At 36.0% G+C, this 23,883-nt stretch overlaps 1 long non-coding RNA gene across 1 annotated transcript in view, besides 2 other annotated features; it reads right to left on the reverse strand.

The window, feature by feature from the left end:
• Nucleotides 1-23,883, reverse strand: part of LOC101928135 (uncharacterized) — a 518,229-nt gene that overhangs the window by 257,153 nt on the left and 237,193 nt on the right. The window lies entirely within an intron of this gene.
• Nucleotides 12,780-13,281: an enhancer, noted in NCBI's record as "H3K4me1 hESC enhancer chr3:35187219-35187720 (GRCh37/hg19 assembly coordinates)". NCBI's record gives its function as "activates a minimal SCP1, AML or CMV promoter by ChIP-STARR-seq in naive H9 embryonic stem cells {active_cell/tissue: H9 hESC(naive)}" and the evidence as "EXISTENCE:reporter gene assay evidence [ECO:0000049][PMID:30033119]".
• Nucleotides 13,282-13,781: an enhancer, noted in NCBI's record as "H3K4me1 hESC enhancer chr3:35187721-35188220 (GRCh37/hg19 assembly coordinates)". NCBI's record gives its function as "activates a minimal SCP1, AML or CMV promoter by ChIP-STARR-seq in naive H9 embryonic stem cells {active_cell/tissue: H9 hESC(naive)}" and the evidence as "EXISTENCE:reporter gene assay evidence [ECO:0000049][PMID:30033119]".

The following is a 23,883-nucleotide window of genomic DNA, read 5'->3' on the forward strand; positions in this document are numbered from 1 at the left end:
GACTATTTCTATCGACATGTATTTTAATCTGCTTATTGAAACTGTATTCTAGGGCCAAGAACTGTATTAAAGAGGTTTCAGTCAGGTTTAATCAACTGAAGAAAAAAAGGCAAAATAATTTTGGAAACAGATCAGAATATGTGAAATATTCAAGAAAAAAGGAGAAACACCTGTTCAAGCAACATGAACTAGAAGAAAAGTGAGGGCCAGGAGTGATGGCTCATGCCTGTAATCGCAGCACTTTGGGAGGCCGAGGCGGGTGGATCACCAGGTCAGGAGATCGAGACCATCCTGGCTAACACAGTGAAACCCGGTCTCTACTAAAAATACAAAAAATCAGCCCAGCGTGGCGGCGGGCACCTGTAGTCCCAGCTACTTGCAAGGCTGAGGCAGGAGAATGGCGTGAACCCAGGAGGCGGAGCTTGCAGTGAGCCAAGATGGCGCCACTGCACTCCAGCCTGGGCAACAGAGCGAGACTCCATCTCAAAAAAAGAAAAAAGAAAAAAAAAAAAAAGTCTGATTTACTTCCATGCCATCTTTTCCTCTCCAAGTGAGTTACTTCGTTTTCAAGGATATTACATATGCTCTCTCTCTCTCTTTCTTGAGAGGAGTGTATGAACTTATTTCTAAGGGTGCCATGTTCTGCTAGAGTGAACAAAGAAAAACAGTTGAGACCCAGAACCAGCAGAATTTCTGCCATATTTTGCTGATCAAATCAAGTCTCAGGACAGCTGAAATTCAAGGGGTGAGGACAAAGACCACCTCTTAATGGGAAAATGATTATGCATATATAGAAGATCTTGCTGACAGTCATCTTTGCAGAATTTACAATATATATTAAAATGTATTTTAAAATTTTTATTTTGGTAGATGGTAAACAAATGAATTAGAGGACCCAGAAAAGATCAGTCTTTAAACACCATAGTAATTCATCCTAGAGATAATGATACCTTTGTTTAGCATGATGGTAGTAGAGATGTGCTGAAGTGAAATGATTGTAAAAATATTTAGCAAGTAGAATCAGCAGTACTTGAGAAAATTTTAAATACATTTGGTAAAAAGATAAAAATTTATTTAAAAGATATATATTATTTAAAACAGGATTATGTAAATGTCAACTTTTTCTCATTGGCTCCGAATAACATTAGTGCATTGTTAACAGATGGGATTACACTGAATCACTCCATTCCCAGAGGAAATTATTAGATTTAGCAAAAGTATAAATTAGTGTTACTTTAAGAAGAAAATTGGTGAGTATCAATAAAAAATGAAAATGCACATACATATTGACCTATTAAGTTTACTTTTAGTCATATGCCCCAGAGAAACACCATCCTTCACTTATACACAGAATAGAATGTATGAATGTGTTCTTGGGATGCTATCTATAAAATAAAACCAATGAAAATCACTTAAATATCCTTCAATAGAATACTGGATAAATAAATTACACTACACTGACATGAAATATTCTTCAATCATCAGAGGAAGTGCATTTATGCAAACTGTTGTGACAAATTTTTGGAACCAATGACATTTTAAGTGAAAAAATAAGTTGCAAAAATCTACATAGTATATATTTGCCTTTATGACAAATATTATTTATACACCCAGTAGATGTTACTAGAAGCTCAGAAATGATATATGCTAAAAGAGTGTGACAAAGTTAAAAGTGGGATTTTATTTTCCACCTTATATATTTTTAAAACTTATGAATAATAGAATTTGTAAACTTGAAAACAATATAAAAGAGGAGAGAATTTCTAAGCATTTTAATTTAAAATAAAATTATTTTTTGAAATTTCTGAAGCATCCTGATGCATGCTTCTTGGATGTATTAACTATCTTTAGTCCAAAATTTATTTTCTCTAGCCTTTTAATAATGTTGTCCACATTTTGCATTAATGATTACAAAATTATTTCCTATATGTACATCATTGGTGATATAGGTGAAAAGTTGAATGATGTATTTTACTTTATGAACAGATTTAGTAAGCTAATATTCAGACTTGGAGTTCCCAAGTTTACTTCTATTTCAAGTTAACGAGATTATGTACCTGATAATTACTTTCATTCAGGGCTTCCTTCACTATTACTGAAAGCTAATTTAAAGGTATGAATTACTCTTCCTCTACTGTGAGGCAGTAAGAAAGGTAGACTCTATTTTTTAAAAAATCACTTGAAGCTTTCTTTTTTAACACTTTCCAATTTATCTAGACATGTGTCAGTGGAAATTTAATTGTGCCCACTTGCTTTGTGAAAGTAGAGAGGCCACCTATTTATTTTATAGAAAATCATTCTTAAATGTTATTATGTGAATAGCCTCACACTAAGCTCTCATTTTAGATAGGAGTGCTGAACTCTATTAGTTAAGTGCATTTCATAAAAGAGTTGCAAATCTTTGGGGGAAAACTAATCCCCAGAAACTGTTACAAAAGATAACACTGGAATTTTGTATTTTGATATATCATCAGTAATTCTTGCCAAAGGAATATACTTACATATGTCACAAAATTTGCTTAGTAATGCTGAGTCTAGGCATCAGGTTCAACATTCTGAAAGTTTAAAAATTCCATATTGTTGATTACATTGTCATTTTATTTTATTTTATTTTTTAAATTTTTTTTTATTATACTTTAAGTTTTAGGGTACATGTGCACAACATGCAGGTTTGTTACATATGTATACATGTGCCATGTTGGTGTGCTGCACCCATTAACTCCCCATTTAACATTAGGTATATCTCCTAATGCTATCCCTCCCCCCTCCCCCCACCTCACTACATTGTCACTTTAATAGATTTTTTTTTTACAAATTCTACTGTAGCTAGACTATTTTGGCTAATAATATTTTTATGATTCAGGAATATACATTATAACAATCCACTCAACAAGTTTATTATTAAGTCATTAATAAGTGATTAGTAAGATTGGTTTATTTTATTTTATGAGACAGAAGAAAAAATATGTCAAGCATAATGACGCTCCTTTAGGACAGGGCAATTAAAAACAATAGAAGTAGGCATTAATCAAATGTTAAACTATGAGATTTTTTTAAATAAAGTCTGTATAAAGCAATTGAAATGAGGTCTTTATAGAAGCATTCCCCAAAGTAAATTTATTAGGTTTTTATGGAAAAATTATATGTGAAAGAGAGCTCCAGAAGTCCAATTTTAGTTACAAGAACTTGGATTAATAAAGTTAAACAGGGTATAAGAGATCCTTTAATGAAAAAGTACACAGTATGTGACTATTCCAAAATACTGGAAATGATTCAAGAAGGGGTCATGCCAAAACTCTATAAATGCAAAAATATTTTCTACAGAGAATTATTTGAAAACAAAAATTGGGAATCATAGGTAGATAAATAGATATATTAAATAAGAGATAAATTGGACTCCTGAATAAGTTTAAATAATATAACCTTAAGAATTGTTTTAAATTAAGGCTTGATATAACAAAGTAGCAAAAGTAAATCAGGAAATAAAGCCACAGAAAACAATATTCTCATTTGAAAACATTTATCATTGCATTAATCAATGGTCACATGCAGTTTTATATTATAAACTTACTTAAAATTTTTGTAGCAAGAATATAGCTAATATGTTGCTTCCTTTCCTCTTTCAAGTAAAAATCAGGCTTCTCTGCTTACACTGATTTCCAGAAAACTTAGAATTAGATTTAATATTCAACTGCGTTTACAAGATTTACTTAGGAAGTGACTGCATTTTACTTGTCTTTCTACAATGTGAATCAGACTTTTACATGTATATGAAAAAGGATATATTAACTATTATTAGTCCAAAAGGTGTATGTGTTGAGGGCATGTACAACACACCTGCTATATACATTTACAGTGTAAATCACTACTCAATTTTTTCTTCTATGATGATTAAAACTATAATTTAATCATTCAAGAACAAGTAATATGAAATACTGCCTACACAATTATAACACAATTATTTTAGTCTTAATGTTATTTGATATTTGCTATGCATTTTGGCAGTGAAAACAGGTTTTTTTCAGAGCAATTATGGGGCAAAATATATTGGGGAATCCCAGCTTTAAGGATATTCAATTCTAGATAGTAGAATGCAACCTCTAAGCAGTTGAAGGAGCAAAACTGAACTATTAAACTATATTATCTTGTAGTCCCTTCCATGTTAAATGAAAACAAATAAAATGAGTAAACTTACTTCATACCCATTTCAAGCATTAAGAAGTAAAACATAAAAGCCATCATAAAAGTCCAATGCTGCAGTAAGATAGCATTGAAAAATAAGTCTTAAATTAAGGAGAAATACTCTGATATGGGATGGTGAAAACCATCACCCTATCCGCTCCTTTGATGCCACCATCCCATTACTCAGCATCAGTGTTTGAGAAAGGCTTAATCTTAGAGTTTTCATATTGAGAGTTGTAGCTCCAGAATAAGGAATTTTATCTTTTTTGGTATTCAGAGAGAAGGAATTAATTAAATATAAAATATTTACTTATTTTAAAGCAAATAAAGGAAATGTTAGAGACTATAGTAAAATTTTAAAATTTCTAATTGGTGATGGGATTCAGAACACACTACCCCTAAATACAGCACCTTGACATACTGAATATTTTAAGCTAAAGAAATCTGAGTCACTAGCCAGCTTCCCCACCCAGCTCAGGTGTTCTCCTTAAGCATCCCCCAGCCTGGCAGACAAGTATAGGCCATCAATTGTCCATGGAGACAGCATTTGGTTTCACTCAGATCCAGAGGCTGAGCTGTGACACAGCAAAGCCTTTTTGTTCTATTTAAGGCTATCCTAGATCTGGAAACAAGCCTAAGTCCATGCATATCTGTGAAGCAGAGGCTCTGGCCTACCAAAAGTGGCTGATCAGCAGCTGCAGAGACCCTGCCTACACAGAGGCAATCACAGACCCAAGCCAGCTGCTACACCTGACCACAGAGTCCTGCCAGTAGTCTCTTCAGACCACAGAGCACAAGAAAATTTATAGCAATGAAGGCATACACACACACACACATATACATACACATATATGTATATATACACATATATATCTCAGTGGAATTACACACACACACACACACACACACCCAGATATATCTCAAATAAGCCAACAAATGTTATACCTCAAAGCTCTAGAAAAATAAACTAAGCCCAAAGTTAGCAGAAGGAAGAAAATAACAAAGATTAGAACAAATATTAAAAAAAAAATACAGAATAGAAAAAAAAGTAAAAATTGGTTTTCTGAAAAAATAAATAAAATCAAGAAACCCTTAGCTAGCCTAACTAGGAAAATAAAGAGAAAATATGCAAATAAATAAAATCAGAAATGAGAGAGGAGACACTACAATTAATCCAACAGAAATACTAAGGATCATAAGAAAGTACTATGAACAATTATTTTAAAAATATGCCAACAAATTTAATAATCTAAAAGAAATTAATATATTCCTAAACATAGACAGCCTACCAAAACTGAGTCATGATGAAATAGAAAATCTGAACAGGCCAATCATGTGTAAGGACATTGAATCAGTTATAGAAAGTCTGCAATCAAAGAAAAACCTAGGGTTGGAAAATTTCACTGCTGAATTGTACCAAACATTAAAAAAAACTAATGATAATTCTTGTCAAATTATTCCAAAAAATAAAATAGGGGGAATATTTTCAAACTCACTTTCTGAGGCCAGCATTAGTCTGATACAAAAGCCAGGGAAGGACAATAGAATTAAAGAAACCCATAGGCCAATATTTCTAATATATATAGGTGCAAAAATTCTAAATAAAATATTAACATACTAAACTAAAAAACACAACAAAAGAATAATTCATAATGTTCAAGTGGGATTTATTTTTGGGATTTATTTTTCGGATTTAAGGATGGTTCAACATACGCAAATTCATTTTCTGAGGTTATATATAAATAAGTAAATGTGATGTACCACATTAACCAAATGAAGGATAAAAACTATGTGATCATCTTAATAAATTTTAAAAAAGCATAACACCCTTTCATGATAAATACTCTCAAAAGATCAAGTATAGAAGGAATGTAACTGAATACAAGATGGCCATATATAACAAGATGATAGTTAAAAACATACTCAATGGTAGAAAGTTGAAAGCTTTTTTGTAATATCAGGAACAAGGCAAAGATGTCCTCTCTCACTACTTTTTAACAATATTGTATTGGAGTCCTAGCCAGAGTAATTAATCAAGAGAAAAAAATAAATGGTATCCTAACAGGAAAGGGAAAAGCACAGTTGTCTCTATTTGCTGACTGTATGATCTTATATATAGAAAACTCTAAAGACTTCACCAAAAGAAAAAAAAAACTGTTGGAAAAAAAAAAAAAACCTGATGAACTCATAAACAAATTCAGTAAAGCTGCAGGATACAGAGTCAACATACAAAAATTAGTAGTGTTTCTATAAGTAACAGCAAGATATCCCAAAAGCAACTTAAGATAACAATCCCATTTACAACAGCAACAATAACAAAAACACACATACATGTAAATGTAACCAAGATGAAAGGACATGTCTACTGAGAGCTATAAAACACTGACAAAAGAAATTGAAAAAGGAAAAATAAATAAAAATATAACATATTCATTGATTGGAAGAATAACTATTGTTAAAATGTTCCTACTGTCTAGTCTACAGATCCAATGCAAGCCCTGTGAAAATTCCAATGACATTTTTCACAGAGATAGAAAAAACAATGTTTAAATTTGTATGAAACTACAAAAGACCCCAAATAGTCAAAACAATCTTGAGCAAAAAGAACAAGCTAGAGGCATCACATTCTTTAATTTCAAAATGTAAAGCAATTGTAATCAAAACAGCATGGTATTGGCCTAAAAACAGAAACACAGGTCAATCGAATGTGATAGAAAGCCCAGAAATAAACCTATACATTTGTAGTCACTTGATTTTTGAGAAAGATGCCCAGAATATGCAAAGGGGTAAGGACAGTCTCTTCAATAAATGGTGTTGGGGAAACTTGATATCCACATACAGAAGAATAAAATTAGATTCTTATCTCACAATATATTAAAAAAAACTCAAAATAGATTAAAGACTTAAATATAAGATGTAAAACTGTAAAACAGCTAGAAGAAAACATAGGAGAAAGCTCCAGCACATTGTTCTGGGTGATTATTTTAAAAATATGATCCTGAAAGCACAGGCAACAAAAACACATACAAACAAATAGGATTGCATCAAACTAAAAAGCTTCTGCACAGCAAAGGAAACAATTAATGTGATGAAGAGACAACCCTCAGAATAAGAGAAAATATTTGCAAACCATATGTATAATGAGTTAATATCCAAAATGTATAAGAAACACAAACACTTCAATGCAAGGAAATAGCCCAACTAAAAAATAGGCAAGAAACTTGAGCAGACATTTTTCAAAAGAAGACATACAAATAGCCAATAGGCACATGAAAATATGCTCAGCATCAGTAGTAATTAGAATAATGCAAATTAAAACCATTTTATTAGAATGGCTTTTATCAAAAAGATGAAAGAGAAGTGTTGGTGAAATGCAGGTAAAAGGGAACTCATACATTCATAGTGGGAATGAAAATTAGTATAACTATTATGGAAAATAGTATGGAGGATCTTCCAAAAACTAAAATTAGAACTACTATATGATCAGCAGTCCCACTACTGGGTACATAGACAAAAAATTTAAAATCAGTATGTCCAAGGGATAGCTACATTCCCAAGTTCATTGCAGCAATATTTACAATAGCTGAGATATGAAATCTACCTAGGTATCTATTAACAGATAAATGAATAAAGAAAATGTGGTATATCTACACAAGGGAATACTATTCAGTCTTAAAAAAGAAGAAAATCTTGTCATTCATGATAACATTAATGAACATAGAGGACAGGTTATTTCATGCTAAATGAAGTAAGCCAGGTCCAGAGAGAACAAATACCACAAGATCACACTTGTATGTGGAACCTAAAACAGTTGAACTCATAGAGTTAAAGAGTAGAATGATGGTCACCAGAGGCTGGTTGAGGGAGGAAGGAAAGGAATGTGGGGTTGTAAATCAATGGGTACACAGTTTTAGAGAGAAGGGAGGAATAACGTTTGAAATATATTGCATGGCAGAGTGACTATAGTTAACAATACTATTTCAAAATAACTAAGTAAATTTCAAATGTCTCACCACAAAAAATATGAGATGATAGATATGGTAACTAGCTTTATTTAATCATTTCCCATATATCAAAACATCACATTGTATCTGACCAATATATATAATTATTTGTTAATTAAAAAGAATATTAATAAAAATAATAAAATAGTAATAAATTTAATAAAGTCACAATCACTTTATTGGTAAATATAAAATAATTCTGAGAATAATTTAATAAGACAAATAAATAGAGAGGTATACCATGTTTATAGATTGAAAAACTATCAAAATTATATATAGGGGAGTTTAGAAAGTATTAACTTACATAATCACAAGGTCCCACAATAGGCTGTCTGCAAGCTGAGGATCAAGGAGAGCTGGTCCAAGTCCCAAAACTAAAGAATTTGGAGTCTGACCTTCGAGGGCAGGAAGAATCCACCATGGGAGAAAAATGTGGGAAGATTTCCCTTCACCACTGTTCTTCAGGAATGTCCTAGAAAGCGATTGTAATGCTGCAGCTGTTCACTTTGGAGTGGTGCCTGCATATCATGCAGAACCGTCTGTGAACCAGGCCCTAGTCTTCCTTTCCTCTGTCAACTGGTCATAGGGAGCAGCTTCCCATGAGGCCATTGGTACAGGCTTGGGGAGAGAAGGCAGGGTGGCAGGAGCGGAGACCATGGGCATTTGAGCCACTTTCTCATGTAACTTACTTGTGCCTTCAGTACCTGCCAGGGTCTGATCACGTATATACCACTTCCATTTGATGATGGAATGCTGCTGTGCATGACCCACTTTCTGGCAGGGTGGGTCAGAAAGCACCCAGTTCATGATAGGTAGTTCAGGTCACATGGTGACTTGATGACCCATAGCCAAATGTTCAGTTTCCACCAAAACCCAGTAACAAGCCAAGGGCTGTCTCAGAAAAGGAGAGTATTTATCTGCAGAAGATGGCAGGCCTTGCTCCAAAATCCTAGAGGCCTCTTCTGTGATTCGCCAATGGGGCCTGCCGAAGGCTCCAAATAACATCCCTATATGCCACTGACACTTCAAGCACCATTGGATCTGCTGGGTCATATGGCCCAATTAGCAGAGCAGCTTGCATAGCAGCCTGGACCTGTTCCAGAGCCTTCTCCTGTTCTGGACCCCACTCCTGGTACCAAAATCTGTATTAGTCAAGGTTCTCTTAGAGGGACAGAATTATATATATATATACACACGCATATATATACACACATATATATATGTATATACACACCCTATATGTGTACACATATATATGCACATATATATGTATATATATATACTTGATCAAAAGATCAAGTATAGAAGGAATGTATGTATATATGTATATACATATATATGTATGTATATATGTATATACATATATATGTATGTATATATGTATATACATATATATGTATGTATATATGTATATACATATATATGTATGTATATATGTATATACATATATATGTATGTATATATGTATATACATATATATGTATGTATATATGTATATACATATATATGTATGTATATATGTATATACATATATATGTATGTATATAAAGGGGAGTTTATTAAGTATTAACTTACACAACCACAAGGTCCCACAATAGGCTGTCTGAAAACTGAGGAGCAAGGAGAGCCAGTCAGTCTCCCCAGACTGAAGAACTTTGAGTCCAATGTTCAATGGCAGGAAGCATCCAGCACGGGAGAAAGATGTAGACTGAAAGGCTAGGCCCATCTCTCCTTTTCACATTTTTCTGCCTGCTTTATATTCACTGGAAACCGATTAGATTGTGCCCACCAGATTAAGGGTGAATCTACCTTCCCCAGCCCACTGACTCAAATGTTAATCTCTTTGGCAACACCCACACAGATACACCCAGGATTAATACTTTGTATCCTTCAATCCAATCAAGTTGATACTCAGTATTAACTATCACAATCCTGGTACCAAAACTTGGCAGAAGTACAACAAAAAAAGAAAACTTTAGGCCAAAATCCTTGATGAACATTGATGTAAAAATCCTCAACCAAATATTGGCAAACTGAATCCAGCAGCACATCAAGAAACTTATCCCCCACGATCAAGTTTCTTCATCCCTGAGATGCAAGGTTGGTTCAACATACGCCAATCAATAAGTGTGATTCATCAGATAAACAGAACTAAGGACAAAGGCACATGATTATCTCAATAGATGCAGAAAAGCTTTTGATAAAATTCAACATCTACATGTTAAAAACTCTCAATAAACTAGGTATTGAAGGAACACACCTCAAAATAATAAGAGACATATATGACAGACCCACAGCCAATATCGTACTGAATGGGGAAAAGCATTCCCCTTGAAAACTGGCACAAGACAAGGATGCTGTCTCTCACCACTCCTGTTCAACATAGTATTGGAGGTCCTGGCTGGCGAAATCAGGTAAGAGAAAGAAATAAAGGACATTCAAATAATAAACGAGGAAGTTAAATTATCCCTGTTTTTAGATGACATGATCCTACATCTAGGAAACCCTATTGTCTCAGCCCAAAAGCTTTTATAAAAAAACCAAACGGCAAACCAATGACCTAAGTATCCAACTAAAGATGATAAAACACATAAAACAAAAAGAAATTTAAAAAACCTAAATGATTGACAAATACGAAGCAAGACTACTTAATCTGAAAACAGTATAAATAATATATAATAATGCAAGCAAAATATAATTTAATTTTAAATGTATAGAACTTTAATTTACTAATACTGTAAATAACATTGCAATATGTTTACAATTTAGATAAATTGGACAATTACTTAGTAATGTATAAATTCATAAATTGGATCTAAGAAAAAAAGTAAAACCTGAAAAGGCTTTTATTTCTAGATACGACTTGGAGAAGACAGTGCTTCTGTTGCAGCAACTAGCAAATGCTCAATATATTACACACACTCACAGGAACATCCATATTTAAATACATCAGAGTGCTTTGGAAGCAGAAAAGTTCCAGACAGGGGAGAAGTTTTTTTTTGTAAGTCAAAGGATGGCCAGCAGATTTCTTCCTGAAGGCATTTGCAGATTCTGGTTTTTGGCTAAGAATCAGTTTTAACTTTGGCAAGTGCCTCTTCTGGAAAAAATATAAATCAGCAAAGCATTTGGTCATTATGCAGGGCTGGAGTGACAATCTGGATACTGGAAGGGCCCAAGAGCATGGCTATTTTTTTCTAGTGAATATGTGTTAAATTATGAGGTATTATGGAGTTCTTGGGAACTTGAGTGAAAGCTTCTAGAAGACACAGTAGAATCTCCCTTAGTCTCAGGGAATTTAGAAGACCAAGGTTTGCCAGGAGTGAGGGCTTGTGTCAAGTACACATCAGGTTTCCCGTTTAAAACTGTATTCAATTAGGTTGATCAGAAGCATAACCAGAGGCAGACGATCTTGTGAAAGTGATTTGTTTGGGGGATAGGTTGCTCTCATGAGATGGGAAATGAGAGAAACACCATGGAAGACAGGGAGAATGTTCCCCTCCACTCCTGCAGGCATAGACAGCAACTGATGAGTAATTGATATGAGAGTGCAAACAGCAGACCCCTCAACTCAAGGTGGTACAGCTCTGTAGTACAACTTATGCACCAGAGCTCCTGTGGGATCAGGCTGAAGCAGATTCCAGTCATGAATATATCTAACCCTGCAGGATTGAGGGGTGCATTCTCCATGTCTTCTATTCCTATGGTAGTTCTCTGGGGATAAAGGAAGCTCTGAGCCTTTAGCAAACTCTCAGCAGCTGGGTGTGGGGGGAGGCACTGGTCTTATAGAGGGGATCTTCAGAGAACATAATACCATCCACTAGAAACAGTTAACAGCTTTTCTATGTGTTCTCTTCTTTAGTGACAATAAGAAGATATTTATACATAAAAGCAATATTTTCTTTTTTCTAAGCTGTGGGTGACCTTGAAAAAGCTCTCATATTTTCTAGGCCCTTTCTAAATCAAAGGCTGTAAGGAGATTCAAATGATGATTATAAAATTAATAGCCCCCAACATAGAGGAAGGGTTGATATTACCGCCTAATTACACGTGAAAGTTCTCTTCCTTTTATATGCTTAGGCAATGTATTAGCTTGATTTCACACTGCTGATAAAGACATACCTGAAACTGGGTAATTTACAAAAGGTTTAATTCAACTCAGTTCCACCTGGGTGGGGAGGCCTCACAATCATGGAAGAAGGCAAAAGGCACATCTTACATTGCAGCAGGCAAGAGAGAGAATGTACCAGAAGGGGAAACGCCAGATGCTTATAAAACCATCAGATCTCATGAGCACTCACTCACTATCAGGAGAATGGTATGAGGGAAACCACCCCCATGATTCAATTATCTCCACCTGGCCCCACCCATGATACGTGGGGATGACTACAATTCAAGGTGAGATTTGGGTAGGGACACAGAGCCAAATCATATCATTCCCCCTGGCCCCTCCCAAATCTCATGTCTTCACAATTCAAAACCATTCATGCCTTCTCAACAGTCTCCCAAAGTCTCAACTCATTCCAGCATTAACCCAAAAGTCCACAGTCCAAAGTCTCATCTGAGATAAGGCAAGTCCCTTCTGCCCATTAGCCTGTAATATCAAAAGCAAGCTAGTTACTTCCTAGATACAATGGGGGTAAACACAGCCATTCCAAATGGGAGAAATTGGCCAAAACAAAGGGCCTACAGGGCCCATGCAAGTCCAAAATTCAGTGGGGCAGTCAAATCTTAAAGCTCCAAAATGATCTCTTTTGACTCTATTTCTCACAACCAGGTCACACTGATGCAAGAGGTGGGTTCCCATGGTCTTGGGCAGCTCTGCCCCCGTGGCAGAGTACAGCCTCCCTCCCCGGGTACAGCCTCCCTCCCAGCTGCTTTCACAGGCTGGCGTGGAGTGTCTGTGGCTTTTCCAGGCACATGGTGCAAGCTGCAGGTGGAACTACCTTTCTGGCGTCTGGAGAACGGTGGCCCTCTTCTCACAGCTCCACTAAGCAATGTCTTAGTGGGGACTCTGTGTGGGAGCCCTGACCCCACATTTTCCTTTTGCACTGCCCTAGCAGAGGTACTCCATAGAACCCTGCCCCAGCAGCAGATTTATGTCTGGGCATCCAGGCATCTCCATACATCTGAAATCTAGGTGGAGGTTCCCAAACCTGAATTCTTGACTTCTCTGCACTGGCAGGCCCAACACCACGTGGAAGCTGCCAAGACTTGGGCCTTTCAGACCTCTGAAGCCACGGCCCGAGCTGCACCTTGGCCTCTTCTAGTCATGGCTGGAGCAGGCGGAACACAGGCCACCAGTTCCGTAGACTGCACACAGCCTGGCCCAGGAAACCATCCTCCAAGGCCTCTGGGCCTGTGATGGGAGGGGCTGCCATTAAGACCTCTGACATGCCCTGGAGACATTTTCCTCAGTGTCTTGGAGATTAACATTTGGCTCCTTGTTACTTATGCAAATTTCTACAGCCAGTTTGAATTTCTCCTGAGAAAGTGGGATTTTCTTTTTTTTAATTGTAAATTTTTTATTATTATACTTTAAGTTCTAGGGTACATGTGCACAATGTGCAGGTTTGTTACATATGTATACATGTGCCATGTTGGTGTGCTGCACCCATTAACTCTTTATTTACATTAGGTATATCTCCTAATGCTATCCCTCCCTCCTCCCCCCACCCCACGACAGGCCCTGGGGATTTTCTTTTCTATCGCATTGTCAGGCTGTAAATTTTCCGAGCTTTTGTACTGTTTCCCTTTTAAAATGGAATGCCTTTAACAGCATACAAGCCACCTCTTGAATGCTTTTCTGCTTAGAAATTTCTTCTGCCAGATACCCTAAATCATCTCTCTCAAGTTCAAAGTTCCACAGATCTCTAGGGCAGGGGCAAAACGCTGCCCGTCTCTTTACTAAAACATAACAAGAATCACGTTTGCTCCAGTTCCCAACAAGTTTCTCATCTCCATCTGACCACCTCAGCCTGGACCTTATTGCTCATATTAATATCAGCATTTTTGTCAAAACCATTCAAGTCTCTAGGAAGTTCCAAAATTTCTGACATTTTTCTATCTTCTTCTGAGCCCTCCAAACTGTTCCAACGTCTTCCTGTTACCCAGTTTCAGAGCTGCTTCCACATTTTTGGGTATCTTTTCAGCAACACCCTACTCTGCTGATACCAATTTACTGTATTAGTTCATTTTCACAAGGTTTATAAAGACATACCCGAGACTGGGTAATTTACAAAAGAAAGAAGTTTAATTCGACTCACAGTTCCATGTGGCTGGGGAGGCCTCACAATCATTGTGGAAGGCAAAAGGCAAGTCCTACATCGCAGCAGACAAGAGAGAGAATGTACCAGCAGAGGAAATGCCAGAAGCTTATAAAACCATCAGAGCTCATGAGAACTCACTAACTATCACGAGAACAGTATGGGGGAAACTGCGCCCATGATTCAATTATCTCCACCTGGCCCTGCCCTTGACACATGGGCATTATTACAATTCAAGGTGAGTTCTGAGTGGGGACACAGAGCCAAACCGTATCAGGCAAAAAAAGTTAAGTTTATACATAAACTATAAATTAATTACAAACACACCATGTCTTCAGCACATCACCTGGTATTAACACTAATAATATGAGAAAGCTGACAAGATGGACATATTTCTGTGAGCAACTGTGAAGAAAATGTTCTTGTTGAGTTGTTTTGCTGCTCTTGGTTTTCAATAATATTGTGTTTGCTGGCAGAAATTGACTGTTGATTTGATTGCGGTAATGTGATTTCATGCACATTTCAAACTGTCTTACCCTCTTTTTTATTCAATAATTTCATTATGAATTACTTATTAAGTTTTTCATATATATGTAGTATTATTCTAAGTATTCACCAACTTCTCCCACTACTAACTTTTCACACCAATATTTTGGTGGCACAGTCTCAGAGAATTGGATTTAAATAATAATTTATGAATTAAAGAGTTGAAAAGCATATCTGAATTTTCACAATGTAGAAATACACAAGTGTTCGTTTTAGCCTAGGAGGATCTGTGGTCTTCAAACTGATCCTGAGGAATAAGAAGCTGAGCAAGTTCAGGTCTTAGAGCAATTACATTTCTTTAGTTTTTCTTTTGTTCTCACAAAAACTGACCTGAAAACAACAGGAGGATTTTATGTGATTTTTGCTTTTACACATCCCATCTTGCTTTAGCTAACTGAAGTTCAATAAAAATAATTTTGCTTGAATTCCAATTATTTATTTAATGTCACGGAGCCTCTCAATTATATTTGTACTTAATAACTGTTTGGCCCAATGTATTTTACATAATGATTCAAAGGATTTATTACTAGAGTTTACCATATATGGAGTTTGGGCTCTTCATTTTGATATTGTTTCATTTAGTATAAAATGAGAAATTTGCATTGGAGACAACAGCTAAATTAATCTTTTGTGAAAAATATTATATTTCAATTTTTATTTATTAAGAACAGATTTAAATTTTCCATTCTCATCAAAATTATCTAGAACTACTACAAGCATGGATCCCTGATTAGGTGTTCTAAGTGATATTTCTCATCTAAAGTTTGCAGTCCCAGCTATGAGACTTTAGGCAAGTCCCTTTAGTGGTCTGACCATCAATATTCTCTATGGAAAGGACTGTTGGATGAGGTAAAAAGCTCTATCTAGTTTTAACACTTATTCTGCAGTGTTCTTCACATAATAGAAATTGGCATATGTTCAGATACACATAACAGCAAATTCAATGAATTTTTCTTAATGAATACATCAATATATAAAACTAGAAGTTTTATATACTATACAACTGGAAGAGTTAGTGCACTTACAGGGTGACTCAGTGTGTCAATCATATCATCAATAATTTGGTTTCTTCTGTGTCTCTTCTCGACCCAAACTTTCTGGCAAACCTCTGCAGAGGTGTCCAAGGGAGAAAATACTAGTCATGGGTTCTTAGTTTCTGTTTCTGGTTGGTCCAGTAAAGCCCCTTCCTCATCCCTCTCTTACCCTCATCACTAGAGACAGAAACTAAAAATTGTGGCTTCAGGCTGTTAAAAGCCTAAAGCAAAACAGAACAACAACAACAACAAAATAAGGCGGGTTAGACAAGCTTGGAAGTATTTCTAATTGAAGTGTAGGAAGAGGTAGCTTGACCTCTGCTAATTCTTTTAGGATAGCAAAAGTCTGTCTTTCCAAATCCACTATAATTTTTGCTATAGTTATTATTGGCCTAAACTGGATATATATTCATAACTGCATGAAAAAAAAACACAAAACTTGTTGTCTTCAGAAGCAAGGGACCTACCAAGGACTACGAAGACTATATTTTAAAAAAAAACAAAACACAAGAACGGATTAGAATATTTCTCACTAATTTAAGATCAGATAATTTAAACATAAAAGAGAATACTGAGGCTATCTATTCTGGAAAAATACAGCATCATTTTTCCCTGCTTGTCTCTTCTAAATACAACTAAATATTCTAGAAATAATTCAACTTTCAATGAAAAAAAGATTTTGAAAGCTGGAAAGAAGAAGGTGGACTGACTCAAACTCTACCTCAGGACTTGAGAACACCACCATGATCAATTTCCTGGGTTTCCTTTTTATTTCCCATTTTATTTCCCATATGAGGCTCTAGAACTGCCAGAAGACATAGACAGAGAAAGAAAATAAGGTTTACTATCTCTGGGGTGGGGAAAAAAAGGACCAGAGAAAAGCCCAACTAAGACCTAGTGGAAAGTCCAACCTTAGCACCACAACCACGGTCAACACCTGATTTGACTATCTACCTGCAGAAACAGCTTCAAAGTCTCAATGGGGAGTTCAGATCTCCTGTCTTAACCCCCACTCCACAACTCGGGCAATGGCAGGTGGGCTGATCCACCCACAGTACAGTCATTAGCAATGGAACCCAGCTTTTCCCTGCTGTCTACTCAGTGGCATGAGACTCAGGCTTAGCAGCTCCTAAACCCCCACCACCATCCCCACATCACAGCGTGGCCCAGAGACAGCAGACAACAGACATACCAAGAATGGAGGAGGTGAAACCTCATATTATGATGATAAAATTGCTTTTTGCTTCATGTATATTGAGGCTTTGTTTTTATTCACTTATATTGTTATGACTTTCTGATAAAAATCTCTTATCATTTTGAAATGTCCCTCTTTATTTTTGATAATATTCTCAGTCTAGAAGTATACTTCATCTGATGCTAATAGAGCCAATTTTGTCTTATTTTTTTTTAAATCATTTTCTTTTACCTAATATGTATCTTTATATTTAAAATGCATCTTTTCTAGACAACACATTACTGGATATTGTCTTCTTTTGCTTTTTTCCCCCAACTTTATTAAGAGATAGTGAATGATATGGTTTGGCTCTGTGTCCCCACCCAATTCTCATGTCAAAATGTAATCCTCAAAATTGGGGGTAGGGCCTGGTGGGAGGTAATTGGATCATGAGAGGTCCTTCATGAATGGTGTAGTACCATCTCCTGGTGTTGTTTTCATGATAGTGAGAGAGTTCTCATGAGATCTGGTTGTTTAAAAGTATTTAGCATCTCTCCCTTCTCCTCTTGCTCCTGTTCTGGCAATGTAAGATGACTGTAATTCCTCTTTGACTTCCGCCATGATTGGAAGCTTCCTGAGACCTCCCCAGAAGCAGAAACCGCTATACTTCCTATACAGCCTGCAGAACCATGAGGCAATTCAACTTCTTCCTGATGAATTATCCAGTCTCAGGTATTTCTATATAGCAGTATGAGAACAAACTAATACTGTGGATAAACAAAAATTGTATATATTTATGGTGCACAACATGACATTTTAATATATGTATATAGAAGTTTTGAAATGATTAAAATAAGCTAATAAACGTATCCATCACCTTACATAGTTATCTTTTTTTGTGGTGAGAGTATTTAAGATCTACCCTCTTAGCAATTTACATGTATGCAACATATTATTGTTAACTATATTCTGGATCTTGTCTTCTTATACACTCTGAAAATCTCTGCCTTTAATTAAAATGTTTAGACCATTAATACACAATGTAATCATTTGTTTGGTGGGAATTGGGTCTATTTTCTTAGATTTCTCTATTTGTTCCCTTCCATTTTTGTCCCTCTGCTCCTCTTTTCTTAACTTCTTTTTGGGTATTTGAAATATTTTTATTACTTTATTTTAACCCATCTCTTGCCTTTTGGCTATAAGTCTTTATATTATTTCTTTATTGTTTTTCCCCAGGAACTAAAATACATATTCCCAAACTTTCAAATTCCACAATCAGGTAATATTGTATCACTTTATAAATATATATATATATATATACTATAAAGGTCATTCTAGTTACCTGCTGCAATGTTTCATATTATATTGTCATATATCTTACATTCACATACATTAAACTTCAAAAAGACAATTTTATAATTTTTGCTTTAAATAACCATATATATTTTAAAGAACTTGAAAAGAAAAAAAAGTATTTTATAATTACTCAGATATTTACCATATCTGATGTTCTTCTTTTTTTCTATAGAGAATTTTTTTTTTTTTAGGGCAAAAGAAATGGAAAATAAAAGATTATTTGGCATGTTTAGCAACATGGAAAAATTAAACAGAGAGATAGTTTACAGGGCTGATGGACAGATGAAGACAGCCTAAGCCAGATATTTAAACTAAAACTGAATGACAGGTTAGTGATCATTAAAGCCAGAACAAATAAAATTGTACAATAAGGTGATTTAGCACCAAACAATATTTACATCATTTTATTTGTCCTCTATGGCCACGGTAACAAATTCCCACAAATTTGATGGCTCAAATTAACACACATCTTATTCTCTAACTTCTCTGGAAGTCAGAAGTCCAAATCAGTCTCTTTTTCTTTTTTTCCTCTTTTTTAACTTTTATTGTAAGTATAGGGACACATGTGCAGATTTGTTATATAGGTAAACTCATGTCATAGGGGTTTGTACAGATTATTTTGTCACACAAGCACTGTGATAAGTCTAATATCCAATAGTTATTTTTTCTGATCCTCTCTCTCCTTGCACCCTCTACCCTTTTAAGTAGGCTCTGGTGTCTATTGTTCCCTTCTTTGTGTCCATGACTTTTTCCCATTTAGCTTCTACTTATGAGAACATCTGGTATTTGGCTTTCTGTTCCTGCGTTAGTGTGCTAAGGATAACAACCTCCAGTTCCATCCATGTTCCTGCAAAAGACATGATCTCATTCTTTTTCATGACAGCATCATATTCCATGATGTGTATGTACCACATTTTCTTTATTCAATCTGTCATTGAGGGGCATTTAGGTTGATTCCATGTCTTCCTCTTGTTAATAATGCTGCAGTGAACATTGATGTGCATGTGTCTTTATGGTAGAACAATTTATATTCCTTTGGGTATATACCCAGGAATGGGATTGCTGGGTCAAACAATAGCTCTGCTTTTAGCTCTTTAAGGAGTCACCACACTCTACAATGGTTGAACTAATGTACATTCTCTCCAGCAGTGTATAAGCATTTTCTTTGCTCTGCAACCCTGACTCATCTGTTACTTTTTGACTTTTTGATAGATATTCTGACAGGTGTGAGATGGTATCCCATTGTGATTTTAATTTGCATTTCTCTAATAATCAGTGAAATTGAGCTTTTTTAATATACTTGTTGGCCACATGTATATCTTCTTTTGAGAAGTGTCTGTTATGTCCTTTGTTCACTTTTTAATGGAGTTGTTGCTTTTTCTTGAAATTTTAAGTTCCTAATAGATGCTGGTTATTAGACTTTTGTCAGATGTGTAGTTTGCAAATATTTTCTCCTATTCTGTAGGTTGTCTGTTTACTTTGTTGATAGTTTATTTTGCTGTGCAGAAGCTCTTCAGTTTAATTATATTCTATTTGGCAATTTTTGCTTTTTTTTGTGATTGCTCTCAGCATCTTCATCATGATATCTTTGCCCGTGCCTATGTTCAGAATGATATTGCCTAGGTTGTCTTCCAGGGTTTTTATAATTTTGTCTTTTACATTTAAGTCTTTAGTCCAACTTGAGTTTATTTTTGTATATGGTGTAATGAAGGGGTCCAGTTTCAATCTTCTACGTATGACTAGCCAGTTATCCCAGCACCATTTATTGAATAGGGAATCATCTCCCCATTGCTTGTTTTTGTCAGTTTTGTCAAAGATCAGATGGCTTCAGGTATGTGGCCTTATTTCTGGGTGCTCTATTCTGTTTTATTGTCTATATGTCTGTTTTTGTACCAGTACCATGCTGTTTTGGTTATTGTGGACTTACAGTATAGTTTGAAGTCAGGTAATTGGAAGACTCTGGGTTTGTTCTTTTTCTTTAGGATTGTGTTGGCTATTTGAGCTCTTTTTCCCTTCCACATGAGTTTTTAAATAGTTTTCTCATTCTGTGAAGAATGTAACTGGTAGTTTGATAGGAACAGCATTGAATCTGTAAACTGCTTTGGATAATATGGCCATTCTTTCTTTCTATGAGCATGAAATGTTTTTCCATTTTTTTGTGTTATCTCTAATTTATTGAGAAATGTTTTGTAATTCTTACTGTAGAGATCTTTCACTTCTCTGATTCCTAGCTGTATTCCTAGATATTTTATTATTTTTGTGGCTATTGTGAATGGTGTTGTGTTTCTGATTTGGTTCTCGGCTTGGCTGTTATTGTTGTATAGGAATGTCAGTGATTTTTTTACATTGACTTTGTATCCTGAAACTTTGCTGAAGTTATCAGCTGAAGGAGTTTTTGGGCCAAGACTATGGGGTTTTCTAGATAAAGAATCATGTAGGACCATGTAGGACACGCTCATGCGTGTAATCCCATCACTTTGGGAGGCTAAGGCAGGCAGATCACTTGAGCTCAGGAGTTCGAGACCAGCCTGGCCAACATGGTGAAACCCTGTCTGTACTAAAAATACAAAGATTACCCAGTTGTGGTCGTGTACACCTGTAATCCCAGCTACTTTGGAGGTTGAGGCAGAAGAATCATTTGAACCCAGGAGGCGGATGTTGCAATGAGCTGAGATTGTGCCACTGCACTTCAGCCTGGGTGATACAGCAAGCCTCTGCTGCAAAAAAAAAAAAAAAAGTAAAAGATGAATCATGTCATCTGCAAACAAGGATAGTGTGACTTCTTCTCTTCCTATTTGGATGTCTTTTATATCTTTGTCTTACCTGATTGCTCTGGTCAGGACTTCCAATACTATGTGGAATAGGAATGGTGAGAGATGTCATCCTTGTCTTGTGCCAGTTTACAAGGGGAATGCTTCCAGCTTTTGCTCATTTAGCACAATGTTGGCTGTATATTTGTCACAGATGACTCTGATTATTTTGAGGTATATTTCTTCAATGCCTTGTTTATTGAGATTTTTTAGCATGAAAGGATATTGAATTTTATTGAAAGGCTTTTCTGCATCTATTGAGATAATCATGTGGTTTTTATCTTTAGTTGTTTATGTGATGAATTACATTTATTGATTTGCATATGTTAAACCAACCTTGCATCCTGAAACACCCGACTTCACATTTCTTGGAGATGGAACCCCAGCCCCAAGGGGCAAATGATAGTCGCCCTACCACAGCCTCTATAGGAATCTACCCCTGCTACCTTCAGACTAACAATGGAGCAAAGACCCTAAGTGTCTTATCCATACCTCCAACAAGCTGCAGCTGACTCAAGAAGAGGACGCCAGTCCATTTCCTATGGGTCTCACTCACTCCCTCTGCTCATCACCAGGCAGGGAAACCCCTGGATTATGCCCACAGTACAGACCACCCACCTTGGGCTGATCGCACTGAACAATTGCTGACCTTCATCTCTTTGGAGTGGAGCCCCCAGGAGACAGGCAGAAGACCCTTAGCCATAACCACTACCAAAGTCCCTTCCTCTGCTGCCTCCAGGTTGGGGAGGAAATGTAAACCCTGAGATCACCCCAGAGCCATGATGGGCCTCCTAGGAGTACTAAGCCATGATCTACAGCCAGAACTCAGCGGGGAGAGGGGCCCATACTTCCAGAGCAATGAGAGCTGAAACTGTGAGGAAATATAGGGGAGCCACGCAACTGAGCAAGAGGCCACCTACTGACCACTATGGCTAAGCAGCGCTTCCTGGATAGATAATACTCCAAAGTTTCAACATCAAAAATACCTCACTAACATACATCCCTGTGAAACCAAAGACAAGAAACAAGCTACAAATAAAGACCCTGCACATAGCCTCAGCTCTGTGAAAACATCCAAAAGAGAAGTCTACTGACTATTCAGTCTATACTGCAGTTAAAGGAACACTTACACACAGAGATGAGAAAGAACGAACACAAGAACTCCAGATACTCAAATGGCCAGAGAGTCTTATGTTCTCCAAACAAATGAACTAGTTATCGAACAAAAGTTCTTAACCAGGCTGAGTTGACTGAAATTGCAGAAAAAGGATTCAGAATATGGATAGGAATGAAGATCTTTGAGACTAAGGAGAATGGCAAAACCCAATCTAAGGAAACTAAGAATCACAGTAAAACAATACAAGAGCTGAAGGATGAAATAGCTAGTGTAAAAAAGAGGATAATGAATGTGACAGAGCTGAAAAACACATTAAAAAATTTCACAATGAAATCACAAGTATTAACAGTGGAATAGGCCAAGCTGAGAAAAGAATCTCAGAACTTGAAAACTGGTTCTCTGAAATAAGACATCCAGACAAAAATAAAGAAAAAGAATAAAAAGGAATGAATAAAACCTTTGACAAATATGGGGTTATATAAAGAGGTGAAATCTATGAATCATTGGCATCCCTATAGGAGACAAAGACAAAGCAAACAACTTTGAAAACATGTTTTAGGATATCATCCATGAAAATTTCCTCAACCTTGCTAGAGAGGCCAACAGTCAAATTCAGAAAATACAGAGAATCCCTAAAAGATTCTACACAAGAAGTTCATCCTCAAGACACACAATCGTCAGATTTTCCAAGGTCAAAATAAGGAATGTTAATAGTAGCTAGAGAAGAAGGACAGGTTACACACAAAAAGAATCCCATGAGGCTAACACTGGGTATCTCAGCAGAAACTCCGCAAGCTAGAAGACACTGGGGACCTACATTCAACATTTATAAAGAAAAAAATTTTCAATCAAGAATTTCATATCGAGCCAAACTAAGCTTTCTAAGTAAAGGAAAAATAAGATCCTTTTCAGATAAGCAAATGCTGAGGGAGTTTGTTACCACGAGACCTACCTTAAAAGAAATCTTGAAAGAAGCACTAAATATAGAAAGGAAAACCGTTACCAGCAAATTCAAAAACATACTTGAGTACACAAATCAGTGCTATAAAGCAACCACACACAAAAAAAGCCAGCATAATAACCAGCTAACAACACAATGACAGGATCAAATCCACACATATCAATACTACTCTTGAATGTAACTGGGCTAAATGCCCCAATTTAAAAGGCAAAGAGTGGCAAGATCTAATGGTATGCTATCTTCAAAACACCCATCTCACATACAATGACACACGTAGGTTCTGATGTTCTTAATTTGTCATCATTTTTTCCTAAAAATCCGTATTTCTGTTTGGTACAATTTCTCTTCTGCCCAAAGAATTACTTTTAGCATTTATTTCTTCTCAAGATATAAATCCTCTGGCTAAAATTTTTAAATTTATTTTTATCTGAAAAGG

This window comes from Homo sapiens, chromosome 3 (genome assembly GCF_000001405.40).
Source record: "Homo sapiens chromosome 3, GRCh38.p14 Primary Assembly".
NCBI classification, from domain to species: Eukaryota; Metazoa; Chordata; class Mammalia; order Primates; family Hominidae; genus Homo; species Homo sapiens.